The 17,766-nt window shown below is 41.4% G+C and overlaps 1 protein-coding gene across 15 annotated transcripts in view, besides 1 other annotated feature; it reads right to left on the reverse strand.

The window, feature by feature from the left end:
• TENM1 (teneurin transmembrane protein 1) overlaps nt 1–17,766 on the reverse strand; it is an 828,410-nt gene that overhangs the window by 18,871 nt on the left and 791,773 nt on the right. For all 15 annotated transcript variants that reach the window (XM_017029210.3, XM_017029211.3, XM_047441760.1 and 12 more), the window contains 2 exons: nt 11,544–11,716; nt 10,258–10,493 (listed from right to left, as the gene is read on the reverse strand). In XM_017029210.3, coding sequence (XP_016884699.1) covers nt 10,258–10,493; nt 11,544–11,716 — 409 coding nt within the window. The remainder of the gene's footprint in view (nt 1–10,257; nt 10,494–11,543; nt 11,717–17,766) is intronic.
• Nucleotides 11,241–12,440: an enhancer, noted in NCBI's record as "CDK7 strongly-dependent group 2 enhancer chrX:123539864-123541063 (GRCh37/hg19 assembly coordinates)". NCBI's record gives its function as "activates an origin of replication core promoter dependent on BRD2, BRD4, P300/CBP, MED14 and CDK7 cofactors, with strong dependence on CDK7, by STARR-seq in HCT116 cells {active_cell/tissue: HCT116}" and the evidence as "EXISTENCE:reporter gene assay evidence [ECO:0000049][PMID:35650434]".

The raw sequence follows: 17,766 nt of genomic DNA on the forward strand, positions 1-17,766 counted from the left end.
GTTTTGTGTCCTACTTTTTCAGCTAATGTTTTATCTTTAGCATTCCTTGTGTTATTCAATGTTCTTAAAATATACTTTTTAATGGTTGCATGTCTTACTACATGATAAACATTTATTTATCTATTCTCCCAATTAGAAATCAGAAAGTAGTTTTTGTTTTTCTCTTTCATATTGCATGTTTTGCTGAACATTTTTATAAGTAAATATTTCCATAATACAGAACCCTATGAGTGAAATTACTGGGTCAAATGAGACATGTTAAAAGACCCCTGATGCAACCTGAGAGATTACTTTATAGTGCACAGAGGTTGTATAAATTCATACTCCCATTAGCTAGTAGTGGGAGAGGCTATCTCAGTCCATCCTTACTAGCATTGAGTATTATCAGTTAATTAACTTTTCCCAATATGAGAGTGGGAAAATGATATGCTGCTGTGGCTTAAATTTGCATTTATTTGATTACTACTGAGGCTGAACACTTTTTAACATCTATTGGCCACATGTGTATCTTCTATAAATTGTCTGCTCATGATATTTGCCCATTTTTCTATTGGGGTGTGACACTTTCCTTTTTAAACCTCTTTTGGTTTCAGTTTCTTCATTGGTCAGCTGGGGCTAATGTTATTTGCCCTTAATTTTGAACTTCTGAAAAAAAAAAAAAGAAGACCTACCAAATGTTCCATGCCATGAATTGTATCTGGAAGACTAGTGGTTAGATGCTTAAATTATCTGGGGGCAAGTGCCGTTTGTGTCAGGGGTAGGTTTAATTCAGGGAGTACAACCACAAATTGGGACTCTTGACTCTTTATACCATCTGTGGCCAATGCATGCAGTGTTGTCTTGCATACATATACAGCCACCTGTTGTTATGTGCTTATGTGTTGTTATGTGCACCTAAAAGGTGATAAGAAAAGCGCATATTTCCTGTCTTTTGATACAACGGGCCTGGAAGCCTATAGGAAACCAGGTGTTCTTGAACTACCCTTCCTGTGGTTTCACAGCCACATATCTCCAACTGTAATACTGTTCATTTACAATAGCTGTAAAATATCCATGTACTCCCAGAGATGGTTGTAACTGTTGCAATTTATGCTATAATGATAGTTAAAGAGCCAAAGTAACAAGTGATTTCCAGTTCAACTAAATTTGTGGTTTTATTTGTCTGATAGATTAAGTTTACTACTCAAGAACACATTTCTTAGTAAAGTCATTATAGCTACATAAGCAGGGATCACTGTTTAAAATCCACCACAAAGCAAGCAGAGGACAACTCTGCCTAATGTTCTTTCTCTGCCTGTCAAGACGTCTGCCGCTGTGCTTCTCTGTTTATGGATAATGCACTCTGATATTCCAGTGCTGCTGAAACACTAGTTTCAAAGTCAGGTTTGGAAGTTAATGTAAAATTCGGCTAAGAGCTAAAAAAGAATGAAGGAACTGAAGATGCCACAGGTTCCTCCCTGAGTCTCCTGGGGAAACCATGTGTGAGAAGCCTGGCAAAGAGAATGCTTTTCCAGCTGAGCCTCTCCCAACCTTTTTTTTTTTTTTCGAGCCGGAGTTTTGCTCTTGTCACCCAGGCTGGAGTGCAATGGCACGATCTTGGCTCACTGCAACCTCCACTTCCTGGTTCAAGCGATTCTCCTGCCTCAGCCTCCCGAGTAGCTGGGATTACAGGTGCCCGCCACCACGCCCAGCTAATTTTTTTGTATTTTTAGTAGAGACAGGGTTTCGCCATGTTGGCCAGGCTGGTCTCGAACTCCTGACCTCAGGCAATCCACCCACCTCACCCTCCCAAAGTGCTGGGATTACAGGCATGAGCCACCACGCCAGGCCTCCAACCTCCTTCTTGAGTGCTCACGTGCCACCAGCCTCTATGATAAGAATAAGAACTAGGCTGAACACTACCTACTACTGGGTTTGTGGGCAAGGCTGAGAAAGCTCCACATTCATACAAGTGCTTGCTTTCCTGAAAGATGATAGCCCTTGACCTAAGTGTGGACCATCAATCTTTATTTCCACTCTTGTTTCAGTATTCAATCTACACTAATCCTTTCCCTGGAAAAGAGAAGGGGGGGAAAAAAGGATTGAAATTTGGGAATAGCTCCAAGTTAAAAAGGGTATCTTTGGATAGCTGTGCATTGAATAAAACCTTTGAGTTTGGCAACTGACAGGCTGTGTGGTGTGGTAAGAAAACTGTTTGGTAATAGGTTTTTAATAAGGGAAGATGGATCTACGCTGTAATGCATCCTTCGGTTTCCCTTATGTTTTTTTCAGCTATACTAGGAGACAGGCCTGATTGTTGTTCATACTAGGACCAGAGAGGAAAGAGGGAAGAGTGTGCTCTGGAGAGCCACGAATAGTGTTGCTGGCAGAAATGAAAAGGCCTGTAAAAAGAGGGTATATGGGGAAAAGCAAAGCCCTTTCCTGCTCTTTCTGAGGACTTTGTGTTCTAATTGTTCAAGAGAAAATCCTTTCAACCCTTCTGATTTGAAAGTCGTTCAGTTAGAAAAATAACATTGTACTACGTTGATCTAAAGGCAATTGGTGATATTTAGCTGTTTTTGACCTACACAAAGGGCAATTTGCTATGGTTCAACCAACTACACACTTGCACACCCACGCCTGTGAATGTGCTGAACTCTGAGCTATGATCACTGCAGTTGATTTTCTCCCCTCCTTAAGGAGGAGAAGGCTGAATTTTCAAGAACACTGTCACTAGACAACTGTGTTACTTGTTTAATTTTTGCTGAAGAAGTTGGAAGGTAAATAAGTGAGATGGGCCAAATAGCCACGTCAGAGTTTGGAAGATCCTGCATTTAATTTTTTTGTTTTTGTTTTTGTTTTTGAGACAGAGTCTCGCTCTGTCGCCCAGGCTGGAGTGCAATGGCATGATCTTGGCTCACCACAACCTCCACCTCCCGGGTTCAAGGGATTCTCCTGCCTCAGCCTCCTGAGTAGCTGGGATTATAGGCACCCGCCACCATGCCCGGTTAATTTTTGTATTTTTAGTAGAGACGGGGTTTCACCATGTTGGCCAGCCTGGTCTTGAAGTGACCCAGTGATCCACCCGCCTCAGCCTCCCAAAGTCCTGGGATTACAGGTGTGAGCCACCGTGCCCGGCCTCCTGCATTTAATTTTTATGAAGTTGTGAGAATGGATAGAAAAGTCACAGTTGGGGCTGGGCGCGGTGGCTCACGTCTGTAATCCCAGCACTTTGGGAGGCCCAGGCGGGCGGATCACAAGGTCAGGAGATAGAGACCATCCTGGCTAATGCGGTGAAACCCCATCTCTATTAAAAATACAAAAAATTAGCCGGGCGTGGTGGCAGGCGCCTGTAATCCCAGCTACTCGGAAGGCTGAGGAAGGAGAACTGCTCGAACAGAGGAGACGGAGCTTGCAGTGGGCCAAGATCGCGCCACTGCCCTCCAGCCTGGGCGACAGAGCAAGACTCTTAAAAAAAAAAAAAAGTCACAGTTGATCTTAAAAAGTACCACATGCTACTTTACTCTCACTAGTTTTAAGGTAATTAGTATTTGATTTTTAGAAATCAATCACTACATTAATTCCACAGATTTTTTTTTTTATTGGTATCTCTTGGTAGACAATCAAAAGCTTACTTAAGCCTACTTTTATTTCACAGAGATGCCTACCAATGAACAGGGCATATGTTCAGTACTAGCATCAGCCTCTAATATTTCACCTGGAATTCCCATTTTTTTCTTTCTTTTTGAAAGAGAACTAAACTTACTTTTAAAATAGATGGAATAAATGTATAATTTCTCTAGACATTTTATTCTTTAAAAATTATTTCATATTTAACAAGAATCATTGTATGACATTTATGCAGGATTTTCTTTTTTTCTTTTTTTTTATTTTTTGGTGTATATGTGCTTTATTATTTTAAAATCAACTTTATTTGGATAGTTTACACACAGTAGGAGTCACCAATTTTAAGCGTACAATTTAATGAGTTTTGACAGTCATTGAATCAGGTAACCACTACCACAATCGTGATAGCATTTCCATCACCCCCAAAACTTCTCATTTCCCTTTACGTCAATTTAACATCCCCACCAACTGTTTTGTCCCCCATGCAGGATTTTCAATCATTTGTTTACATAGTGATAGATTTCTAGAAAAGTTTACATGACATCATAATAACCTTTGACACAAAACTGCTTGAGTTAGAAGGAACCCTTCTGTTCACTCTTATCCGACTACCCACTGTAATTTACAATCACATACAACTAGTTGTTTCTAATTCTTTTGAAGAATTTGATTCAATAATATAATGTTTTTTACTCCCAAGACACTCCCTTTACTTTGCCAGCATATAGAACCTTATCAACAGAGGGGATCTTAGGAAATGGGCTTTTGAGCCAGACTGCCTGAATTCAAATCCTGTGATCACTGCTTACTAGCTGTGTGACCTCTCTGTGCCTCAGTTTCTTCATCTGTAAAATGGGAATGATAATGATAAACCCATCTGGTAAGGTGTTATAAATAGTAAATGAGTTAATATGTGGCAGTATACATGGTAAGGCTTCAAGGAATGCTAATTGCTGCTGTTATGGTTAATACTACCACTAATAATATATTGCACCATCCATGTCCCTCTTTTTATAGATGAGAAAAGTGCAAAATTATGGGCATACCAGTTCTTCCTCAAAATCATACTCATTTTTCTCACCCAACTTTGGCTATATTATTTACCTTGGACATTTTTTGCACTATGCTAATTTGCCCTTGCTTAAGTACTTTGCTGTTGACCAATTCATCTGTGTAACCATACAACAGATATTTAAAATTTTTTTATACCAAATCATTAATGCTCATATACAGGTGAAATGGTATATGAAATAATTCTTTCTTTCTAGTTATCTTAGTGAGGTTGATCCAAGATTAACAAAAATAGGCTAGGCACGGTGACTCGTGCCTGAAGTCCCAGCACTTTAGGAGGCTGAGGTGGGCGGATGGCTTGAGTCCAGGAGTTCAAGACCAGCCTGGGCAACATGGCAAGACCCTGTCTTTACAAAGAAACAAAAACAAAAATTAGCCGAGCACGGTGGCATGCGCCTGTAGTCCCAGCTACTCAGGAGACTGAGGTGGGAGATTCGCTTGAGCCCGGGAGTTAGAGGCTGCAGTGAGCCAAGATCGTGCCACTGCATTCCACTCTGGGAGACAAAAAACAAAAAAACAAAAACACAACCAAATATAGCAGGTTCTATGATTTGGAAGCCCCAAGAATTCCTGGACCCCAAAAATCAATACTGCCCAGTAGCCTTGATATAGGAAATCTCCTGTCTCCAGGGGGCTCCTTAGGGGGAAAAGCACTGTTACTTGACTGAAAACTGCAGATATATTTTTAAATAGATTAATCTGATTAATATATCTCCAGTCAGGCTCCTTATCTAAATTTTCACAAAATAAATGCTTCCACCAAACCTGAGGAGAAGGAAGTTAAAATAGTGTCAAGTGAATGAAAATCCAACTCTGAGCACCCTGTAGCTGAGGACCAAGGCAATTTCTCAGAATAGAGGGAAAGGCCAGAGCCCTCTTGGCTGCCCCCACCAATTCCCCATCATTTGTCAGCCTGAGACCCTGTGTTCAACCGAGCTTGTTTCTCCTTCTCAGCTCACATCTGAACACTCACGTTTCATTTAAAAACCAACCTACCCTATTCTCAGTTATGTTTGAGTAGAGGAAAAAAGTAAATTGGGAGAGTTTTAGATAAGTCCTTGCTTCATTTCATTTGTAAACACATAATAATCCTACCTGATTTTATAATTTTGGTCATAAAGTGCTAAGCCCCCTCCATTGTTTTTCTTTTAATAAAGGAGGCTGCAGTTCAGGGATTTTGCTATAACCTTACAACTCAGTCTACAAAATCTTATAAACAGCTCTGGGATCCAAAGCTGGGATACATCTCATATGACAGCATTGTTATCCATGGACATAGCAAGGTACAAACTGGATGTAGTTCCTAAACCAGTATGCTTTTGGTAAATGCCCAATTCTTTTTACAATTGCCTCTATTGTTATCTGCACTCTAATTTCTCTATTGTCCAGGGAAATGTATTTATGGGGACAGATTGATGCAGCAGATAAGCAGATACATGGACTAGATGCAAAAGTGCCTTGCAAGGAAGGAAGATGAGTCAAACACAACTCAGGTTGGAGGGAAATGGATTTTTTAAATAAATGAAATTTCAGGATGTTAATGTGACTTATTTCACTTAATGGAGCTGGTGAAGGATGGCTCAGAGGTAACAAATCCCTTGCCTGCTCAGGCTGAGCAGGGTATCATGTTTCCCAAAAGTTTGCCTCCCTCACCTTAAAAAGGATCCTGACGTTGCATGAAAAAAAATCACTGATTATTCTCCAAAGATAGGTCTATCCTTTTCTGATTTTTTTTTCTTTCCAGCTAAAAGGTCTGGGGGAGGTGTGATCGGCAGCTTTTGGGAACATTTGACGTCTATCATCTTACCAAATGGGCCTTTAAATGAACCTGTCATTTTGTCCTTGAACAATTAGTGCTTTATGGCCTGCACACTTGCAAATTACAACCACACTTTTGTGTGGGTTTTCAAAAGGGAGCCCCATTTCCCACAGTACAGAAGGGGTTTCTATGTTGTATGACTTGGAAATTCTGTCTCAACAGCTCTGATAGCTCCACCTGCCCTCAGTCTGAAATGACAGCTTCACTAGAAGAAATAAATGATTCAGTCCAAGGTATTGAGGAACTTGAGAGCATCAGAGAAGCTTATTCTTTGGATGCTTACAAATGGGTCATTGCATATTTTGGTCCAGGAAGAGAGAAAATTGGCATCAGCTTGTCCCTTGAAAGCTACCAGAAATGAAGGGACGCCATCTCGGAAATAATAACGTCAGTGGGGGAAGAGAATTTGCTTTGTCAAAATTGGATTCACATGTCCCTTTTGGGAGCATACTCATTTCATTAAATTGGAAATGCCAAATCTGGGGAAATTGAGGCATCAGCATAAAAAAAATCACTAGGAATAGGGAGATCGGGTAAAAATTAACCAGTTAAGCAGCCTCCTTCCTCTTTTTGCCTGCTTCATGCTTTTCCTGCCTGGAAGCCAGCCAGTTGTCCTGTGCCTCCCACACTTGCCAGTACATTAGAGTCGATTATTTGTCCCTTTTTGTCAGCATTGAAATGAGGAGTCAGGCCCTGCCAAGGTAGCTCCACTGAGTGGGGCAATGATTTATAGATTAATTATTTTAAGGAACAAGGCAGCACAGTGTGATGCAGTAGAAAGAGTGCCATGCTAGGTGAGGACCTGCATTTTAGCTCTGGCTCTGATCCTTAATAGCTGGTTGACTTTGGGCAAATCACTTAACCTACCTGGGCCTTGGTCTCCTTATCTGTAAATTGAAAGTAACAATTGACAGCTGTGGTGATCAAATAAAATCCTGGCTATGAAACCATTTTGTTCACTCTGAGGCACTAAACATATGTAAATGATTGTTATTGTTATTAGACTTCTGGGGCATGCCATGGTAACACCACCTGGCCAATAAGGGGCCTCATTTTTCAGTCACAGGACCTCAGGGAGTAGCCTAGAAGTGATATAGAGAAGAGGGCCTTGAATTTGTTGCCCTTATAGTCCAGTCCGCAAATCTGCTCAACTCTGCCACAGGATCGGAAATGGGTCACATTATAATTAGTACTAACTAAACACTTTACTTCTTAACACTAATGAGCTCCCAAATGTTTTATGACAATTAGCTTCTCAGCACTAAGAACAATTTGGGATATGGGGTGTAAATTACAGTTTATAGTTTCTCTCCATTATCTGTGCATATGGAGGACAGAAAACAGGATGGGTTGTTCTAGAAAATGGAAACTTCCAAGGTCACATAATATAGGATGAGTTATCCTAAAGAATGAAAAATCCCAAAGTCACATAGTATATGATTTGGTTCAGAAAGTTTTTTTGAGGCTATATGCTGGGAGAGGTACTAAGAAATCATGTCTTCAATACAATTTTTCTGTGATGAGTCCATGAGGTCGATAAGCCATATGTAGATAATTCTTACTTTCTCTAGTAGTACACTTTTATTTTACAGGTGAAAAAAAAAAATCAAGGCATTTCTTAAAGCGTTTGTAAAATAGGGTATCAAGGCCAGGTTCTCTAACTTCCCCATCCAGGGTTCTACCCAGGAGGTCCTATTTCTCAAAGAATTCCGATAGAAATCTTTACTGCTACCCACACATTGGTTTGATATTTGGATTGGTTTCACTTCTCCATTCAGTGGCATATCTGGTAAATATTCTGTCAGAAACTTGTCAATAGAATCGAAACATAAAAATTGACTTGTGCACATACAAATTTCAGTAGCTTTATAAAAAAAAAACCCAAACAAAACCAAACAACAACAAAAAAACCACCCACTAAAGTCTGTGGCTGTGTGTCACCAAGAGAACTGATTGAAAAGTGAGCACTGGCCGGGCACGGTGGCTCATGCCTGTAATCCCAGCACTTTGGGAGGCCGAGGCAGGTGGATCACGAGGTCAGGAGATCAAGACCATCCTGGCGAACACGGTGAAATCCCGTCTCTACTAAAAATACAAAAAAGTAGCCGGGTGTGGTGGCGGGCACCTGTAGTCCCAGCTACTTGGGAGGCTGAGGCAGGAGAATGGCGTGAACCCGGGAGGCAGAGCTTGCAGTGAGCCGAGATCGCACCACTGCACTCCAGCCTGGGCGACAGAGCAAGACTCTTGTCTCAAAAAAAAAAAAAGAAAAAAAAAAGAAAAGTGAGCACTGCTGTAGATTATTTTGTTCATATCAAGCCATATGACCGGTTTGACTGCCTCTCTCTGGAATTGGGTGGTTGTTTGGGGGTTGCACTTCCACAACCTTAAGGTTACCAAATTTTTGATATGAGTTCTACATTTCTTTTCAAATAATTAATATGTCAGTATGTTCAATTCTTTGCCTTCTACTTTTAAACTTAACTTCCTCGTAAAGCAACCTTTTTCAATTACCTACTCCACCCTGACTCATTCCGATTACCTGCTCCACCCTAAATCATTCGGATCACCTGCTCTACCCTAACTCATTCAGATTACCTGCTACCTGCTCTGCCCTGACTCCCGCCAAAACACTCACCCCGTCATTCTCTTTAAATTAGCCAATCGGAATTAGTTTAGTCTGTGCGGTCTAACCCTAGCCAATAGGGGAACGACACAGCAACACGTGCGTCAGGGATAAGAGCCCCTTCCCCTCCCTTGTCCAAGTGTGCACTCACCATTGCTCCATCTGTAAGGGCGCACCCTTCTATAGAAGTAACTTGCCTTACTGATAATTAAAAAGAAAATTTTATATTCGAGTGCTATTCCTTTTGCGGCACCGAAACTTTATATATAACAGAAACCTTCCCGGTATATCAGGCGTGACACAGGTGCTCAAAGCAGATCTGGCCTCAATAGTGAGTGATTATTTCCCGCAGGCTGGCAGTTGCTCTAGGGCTGATATTGAATGTTACTACATGTAGAAAGCTGGCCACATCATCCTAACACTGGTTAACGTTCAAGAGGAGGCAGGTAGACAGAGTGCTATGGCGATTGTAGGCTTTGTGTGCTGCAGAAAAGCTGACCGAGGTCTCCTGGTTAACTCTGGTGAACTGTGCTTGGTAAGGACTTTAAAACTCCCTAATCTATAACTTCCTCCAGGCAGCTCTGAGTACCTCAGCCCAATCTCAGTACCAGTCCTTTATCCCTCTGGCCCTGGATATGTATTCATGGCAATGCTATAATTCACTGATTTTTCCTCTTGTCTTTGCCCAAATGTTGCCTTTTGTCTCACATCCTTTTGTGTGTACCTGCGAGGTCTTTCCAAAGAGCTACCTGGAAAGCAGGGACCTCGGTCAACTCAGTGAACCTGATAGACATCTCCAGGGCATGCTGGGAGGGGTGCTGGAGGGCCTCCTTTGACTAAACACATTTCTCCAGCCAGACTTTCTTGGTGAAATTGCTACTATTAGAGCACTTTAGCTGGCTAATGACAAAGAAAGCTCCTATTAGAATGCTCATTTAAGGATACTGAACCATTATCGGCCATTAGCATCCTCTTTTGAATTAGTATATCATATAAGCCAGTCAGTCACTTAGAAAAGCTTTGGAGAAATGGGACTTCAGTTTAGGGAGGCTCTGCAGTTAAACAAACAAACAAACAAACAAACAAACAAACAAAACACCTATAAAAGTTCTATATCTTGTGTAAAGTCAAGCCTTACCCTCAGCCTCCTTTCAAAAGCCGAAACATTGCCTTTGTTTTGCTCCTTCCTCTGCCGCCACTCGATGAGGTTTGCATTGTGCTCTCCGGGCAATGAGATGTTGCATTTGCCCAGGGTAGGGTTGACTGCCCCTGCCAGGATGTGGGGCTCTGAGCTGAGGCCGATCTCCATCCCGCTGGCAAAAGTGACACGCAGGGAACCATCTGGATTCACCCGATAGGTACTTTGAGTATTTTCTGTAGACAGAAGAGCAAAGGAGGAAGAGGGGGAAGGAAGGGAAGAGCAGGAAGCAGAAAAGAGACAGGTTTAGTTTTAGGAGGCACGTTTGGGGGATAAGCAGGTGGGGTGCTGTGGTCCTATCTGCCTTCTGGGCTAGACTACCGCTCTGACAGGCAAACGTGTTCCCTATCCATTTGGGTCTTGTTATTTTCACAGCTGGAGTATCTGTTTCTTGGATAAAAGACTCTTGTCTAACACTGCAGGCTGTTTTTGTTTTTTTCTTTTTTCATTTTTAAAGAATTCCCTCCCTCACTGACTTGTTGGATCAGCCTCCTCAGTTTGATATGCTGGGAGCTAGAATGAGAAGAGTGTGAAGTTCAACGTAGCACCTTACCACCTGGGCCCACCATCACAGTTGCCGTACTCCACAAAATACCACTAACAAAAGTTAGTGTACTCTTAGAGTGTCTGGTGTCACCACCTAACAACAGAATGAGGTCTTAATGACAGGGCAGAGAGAAAGCAATTTCTCTTTGTGCACTTGTCCTCTAGCTTCTAAGACATTCCAAATCCTATCTCCCTTCCTTCCTTTCTTCTTCTGTTCTTCCTTACTTTTCTGTCTTCAAATATAATGAGTTTTTAATTCTCTCATTTCACTTATATTCTTGCTTGGTCTGTATCCTAAGATTTTCCTTTTTCTTCACCCATGTTGGCATTGATCTAGAATGCCAAGCTCAGCTGGAGCCCAGGCTCCATTTATTTAATATAACCTAGCCAGACCCTGAAAGACCTTTGCAAACAGCTGGGTATTGGGAAATAAGTTGATAGCAGAGCAGACTTGGCAGGGATTGAACCTCATGACTCCCACAGAGATGGGCCCAAAGTTGATGTGAGAACTTGTAAAAGGTGTGAATTTTGTCTGTGTTTCAACTTCCATAGCTGGAAAACAGGAAGAGTACATCTTCTCAGCTAGAGGTGAATTCTGTTTATGAATGGTGTACGCAGGTTTCAAGGTGGATGTTGACATAGGGGCTGTTACAGTCAGATATCGTTGGAAACAATCTTACCTTGTTTTAAAATATATATGGTACTAGTTGCCGTCAAGTTGGTTGACATGAGGACATTTTCACGGTTGGAAGTATCTAGCTCCACTTTTGTCAGCTTCTCCAGGTCACTGTGGAAGCTGCTGACCTCTCCAGTGGGAAACGTTGCATTGGTCAGGTGTCCCTCGGGGTCATACCTGAGGAATGTAACCAATCCCAGCTTTGAAGCGTCTCGGCAGTGATAACAGGACTTTGCAAAATAAAAATCACTTGGCAGCTAATACAGTTTAACTTTGAGTGATAACAAGTATTATTAACCTTGTTCAAGAAGAAGAAAAAGGTCAGAGAGATGATTAATCAAACGAAGGTATTTTTTGCAGCTTCTGAATTCTTGATAACTTCCTTGAGCTGTGCTGTTTTACAGAAAAAATATATCTGGTAATGAATCACCAGGGTGGAACACTGATTTATGAATCATGTCCTGCTGTGTGCAACGTTGCAGGGAGGCCTCCGTTTGCGATTTGGGTCGATCCCATTAGAGGTGATGGATTACAAAACCCAGCAGAGGGTGCTGTTGTCAAAGCAAAAGAAGGTACAAAAGGGCCCTCAAAGGCTGAGAAGCCAATATACTGACTTTGGGTTATGATGGGAAAATTATAATTTGCTGCTGTTTAAGTTGCCAAATTTGAAATGAATGAATCATTCTTCCAACAAAATGAACAGGCACAGAGGATAATGGAAACATGTTCATTAAAACATTCTGGAGCCCTCTGATCTTGATGTCACTTAAATTTTAAAAATCTTTTTAGGGTATAGTACATAAGGTTTTGTAATTTGTCTATATGAGTAAGAGACAAAAAATAATTACCTGGGATAATAGGCTATAAGCTATATCTAGAAATATAGTCTAGGGAGTTTACTTTTTCCAAAAAAAAAAAAAAAAAAATCAGAATTATTGGCAATCTCACTGTCCTCCAAATGAAAACTGCTTCCCTGAAGGCTTTTGATGTGGAGCTGTTCTTTTATTGCCAATAGAACCATGAAAAATAAACACTTCATTAAAAGTAAACACATGTACTTGGAAACCCATTACTGTTTTCTTTTCAAGTTGCAAATTACAAAATATTTAAGCACTTTTATTTGCCTTTTAAAATGTTAAACAATTATATTCTTTTTACCCAAAATGAGCAGGATTCAGCCTGGACACAATGGTAGAGACTGGCTGTACTACTCCCTCCCCCAACGATTACACAAAGTGGCATAGTAATTCAGTATCAATCCATTATATTCTAAAAAACTCAGCCTGGGTAGTTGCTCAAATTTTAATAACTATACCAGCCTTTGGAAGGCTTGGGAAAAGCAGTTGGACTGTACTTTATAGGACAGACTTGAACTTGAGCCTATACATAATGCCACCTAAAGTTCAGTTCTGCATATACACGTGCGTGTGTGCACACACACATATATATTATCAGTTAAAACAGTCACATATGTGAATAGAATGAATCAAATAGGTTATTGACATCACAGATATGCCTAGCCTTAGATGTTAAATTGGGTGTCTCCTTTGTTTAAATGGATTTCAGTCGAAATGGTTGGCACAGTGCTATTATGCAGCTAAGGACGCGTTATCAAAGAAAGACTGAAGAGTGCTGTTTCTTCCTGGGGTTAATGGCAAAATCCTTCCCTCTGCAAAGACTGCCCACGTTCTGCCTGCTGTGGGGCTCTATAGCTACAAGAAGCAGAAGAACGGAGCATAGGAAGGCTCGAATACCCACTTTAGCCCCAACCTTGTCTGTTTGGTCTTCCATCCAGGGGAGAAAAACAATAATATCCAGCCTTTTTTAAAAAAAATTAATTAATTTTTTTGAGACAGTCTTGCTCTGTCACCCAGGCTGGAGTGCAGTGGTGTGATCTCGGCTCACTGCAACCTCCACCTCCCGGGTTCAAGCAATTCTCGTGTCCTAGCCTCCCTGAGTAGCTGGGATTACAAACGAGTACCACTACATCTGGCTAATTTTTGTATTTTTAGTAGAGATGTGTTTTCGCCATGTTGGCCAGACTGGTATCCAACTCCTGGCCTCATGTGATTCCCCCTGCCTCAGCCTCCCAAAGTGCTGGTATTACAGGCGTGAGCCACCACGCCCGGCCCACTGTCCAGCCATTATTCTCCCAAGGTAGAGGAGGCAGGAGTTTGCAGGCAGTAGACCGAAGGAAGCTGCTGCATGCCTTTCTTATCAGGGGAACTGTGGCCCCAACAACCTGGATTATGCAGGCACTTCCTCTCTGTTCCACATGAGGCACCAGCAACTTTGCCTCATTGGTTTCCCTTTCCTGATTTCTTTCTTTCTTTCTTTCTTTTTTACAATAGTAAAACTTTTTTTTTATTATTATACTTTAAATTTTAGGGTACATGTGCACAATGTGCAGGTTAGTTACATATGTATACATGTGCCATGTTGGTGTGCTGCACCCGTTAACTCGTCATTTAACATTAGGTGTATCTCCTAATGCTATCCCTCCCCCCTCCCCCCACCCCACAACAGGCCCCAGAGTGTGATGTTCCCCTTCCTGTGTCCATGTGTTCTCATTGTTCAATTCCCACCTATGAGTGAGAACATGCAGTGTTTGGTTTTTTGTCCTTGTGATAGTTTGCTGAGAATGGTGGTTTACAGCTTCATCCATGTCCCTACAAAGGACATGAACTCATCGTTTTTTATGGCTGCATAGTATTCCATGGTGTATATGTGCCATATTTTCTTAATCCAGTCTATCATTATTGGACATTTGGGTTGGTTCCAAGTCTTTGCTATTGTGAATAGTGCCGCAATAAACATACGTGTGCATGTGTCTTTATAGCAGCATGATTTATATTCCTTCGGGTATATACCCAGTAATGGGATGGCTGGGTCAAATGGTATTTCTAGTTCTAGATCCCTGAGGAATTGCCACACTGACTTCCACAATGGTTGAACTAGTTTACAGTCCCACCACCAGTGTAAAAGTGTTCCTATTTCTCCAAATTCAACAACCCTTCATGCTAAAAACTCTCAATAAATTAGGTATTGATGGGACGTATCTCAAAATAATAAGAGCTATCTATGACAAACCCACAGCCAATATCATACTGAATGGGCAAAAACTGGAAGCATTCCCTTTGAAAACTGGCACAAGACAGGGATGCCCTCTCTCACCACTCCTATTCAACATAGTGTTGGAAGTTCTGGCCAGGGCAATCAGGCAGGAGAAGGAAATAAAGGGTATTCAATTAGAAAAAGAGGAAGTCAAATTGTCCCTGTTTGCAGATGATTGTATATCTAGAAAACCCCATTGTCTCAGCCCAAAATCTCCTTAAGCTGATAAGCAACTTCAGCAAAGTCTCAGGATACAAAATCAATGTGCAAAAATCACAAGCATTCTTATACACCAATAACAGACAAACAGAGAGCCAAATCATGAGTGAACTCCCATTCACAATTGCTTCAAAGAGAATAAAATACCTAGGAATCCAACTTACAAGGGACGTGAAGGAACTCTTCAAGGAGAACTACAAACCACTGCTCAATGAAATAAAAGAGGATACAAACAAATGGAAGAACATTCCACGCTCATGGGTAGGAAGAATCAATATCGTGAAAATGGCCATACTGCCCAAGGTAATTTATAGATTCAATGCCATCCCCATCAAGCTACCAATGACTTTCTTCACAGAATTGGAAAAAACTACTTTAAAGTTCATGTGGAACCAAAAAAGAGCCCACATCGCCAAGTCAATCCTAAGCCAAAAGAACAAAGCTGGAGGCATCATGCTACCTGACTTCAAACTATACTACAAGGCTACAGTAACCAAAACAGCATGGTACTGGTACCAAAACAGAGATATTGACCAATGGAACAGAACAGAGCCCTCAGAAATAATGCTGCATATCTACAACTATCTGATCTTTGACAAACCTGACAAAAACAAGAAATGGGGAAAGGATTCCCTATTTAATAAATGGTGATGGGAAAACTGGCCAGCCATATGTAGAAAGCTGAAACTGGATCCCTTCCTTACATCTTACACAAAAACTAATTCAAGATGGATTAAAGACTTAAATGTTAGACCTAAAACCATAAAAAACCCTAGAAGAAAACCTAGGCATTACCATTCAGGACATAGGCATGAGCAAGGACTTCATGTCTAAAACACCAAAAGCAATGGCAACGAAAGCCAAAATTGAGAAATGGAATCTAATTAAACTCAAGAGCTTCTGCACAGCAAAAGAAACTACCATCAGAGTGAACAGGCAACCTACAGAACGGGAGAAAATTTTTGCAATCTACTCATCTGACAAAGGGCTAATATCCAGAATCTACAACGAACCCCAACAAATTTACAAGAAAAAAACAACCCTATCAACAAGTGGGCAAAGGATATGAACAGACACTTCTCAAAAGAAGACATTTATGCAGCCAAAAGACACATGAAAAAATGTTCATCATCACTGGCCTTTCCTGATTTCTAAAGGGATTCCTCAACCCTTGACAAGCTCACTCTATCATTCCTCCAGGAAAGCTGAACTTAGATGCTGTGGATGCAGGTTCCACATGGACTTTCCAGCTTGGGGGCAGTTTCCTTCAGTCACACAGCCCCTTGTTTTAAGGGAAGATCTCATGTAAAGATATGAGCAGTGGTTATATCCACTCATCAGAGCAAGATGACAAGATCAGATACCAACTGGGCCATCCATGCATAGGGGTACAAGGGTCAAAATTCCCAATGAACCTTTGCAGTGACCTGTGGCTAAATCTGGTTTCCTAGTCCACCCACCCAAACACCTTTTCAGCTAAGTTATTGGTGGTCTTTGTCTGATAAACATTTCAAAGCTTATTTCCAAGAGCACAGGCATATTCCTACATATTTTGTACCCATCCCTCCTCCCCATATTGACGGTGGTATATTCAGAGAGGCAAGCTAAAGATTCCTAGATAAGACTGTAATTACCCAGATAGATTTAGCTGGGAGACTGCTTGGTGTATATGTGTGTGTTTGTGTGTGTGTATGTGTGTGTGTGTGTGTGCACGCACGTGTGTGTGTGTTTTCTGGTGAAGGAGGCAATGGTGTTGGGAATAAGATATTTCCCATGGGTCTGTCCAGTTGTTGGGTAGCTGGAAAGTTATATTGCCTCATTTCCTTTCTGTGGCCAGAGAGGCCAATGAAAGTGTACATTTGACTGTAACTCCATGATAAACAAAGCACCCCAACTCCAACACACTCACATACCCCAATTCTGCTAGTTCACAGTTAAAGCAATCACATTTAATGGTATCTGCAGGGTGGTGTCTCTGATGCTCAATATGGCCCTGGATCAAAACATACAGATCCCACCTCTCTTCTGTTGGGTCATTTCCAAAGGAAGAACAACAGGCAGATGTACACATCAGCGGGTAATTCCTACAACTTTGGAAAGATTGCTCAAAGTGGATAAGAAATAGAGCGAGATTTTGATTTCTTATAGCTTACTTGAGTTTTTTCTGTCATCACAGGGGAATGCATCTTTCCAGACTGAGTGTCGAAGAAACAAGTTTAATCAAAATCTCTTCTGCTGTGTGTTTCCCTTCGGTGCCTCCATCCTTTGGTGCAGAGATACAAGCCGATATGCTCCAACGAATCCCTTCAGGCCACAGCATGGGAGCAAACCCACCCTCTTTGCATGCAGGGCACAGCACTCACCTAACCAGGCTGCAAATTATAGCTGCTGAATTGTGCCATCAGGAAATGACAGTTGCCTTCATAGCCATCAGAAGTGGATTTGGTAAGAGGAGATTTGTTATCAAATTGTCCCTTGCTGTCCTGATTTTACAGAGTTCCACTGTGATGGTCTCAGAGGGTACCAGACAGTTAAGTAATGAGTACACTCACCCTTTTCCTCAGCACTGTCATAGGCTGTGTGCATGTGCACTTGAGTGAGTGTGTGTGTGCATGTGCACACATGTGCACCCCAGTAGAGCAAAGGAAACATTTGTAAAGAAAATTCAGAATCCATTCTTGTCCTTGAGAAGCATATAGTTTAGTTGGAGAGATGATATTTACACATGATTAAAAATATATTTGGCCTGGTATTTTCTCATAAGGGATAGCTTGCCCTTTCCTCTGAGGACAATTTAAGCCAGAGTTAAACTGTTCAAGATAAAACTAGAGGCTCCCACACCTTTGCTTTAAAAAAAAATTGCAGATAATAGAAGAGAAATTCATTACTTACTC

Source organism: Homo sapiens, chromosome X, assembly GCF_000001405.40.
Source record: "Homo sapiens chromosome X, GRCh38.p14 Primary Assembly".
NCBI lineage: Eukaryota > Metazoa > Chordata > Mammalia > Primates > Hominidae > Homo > Homo sapiens.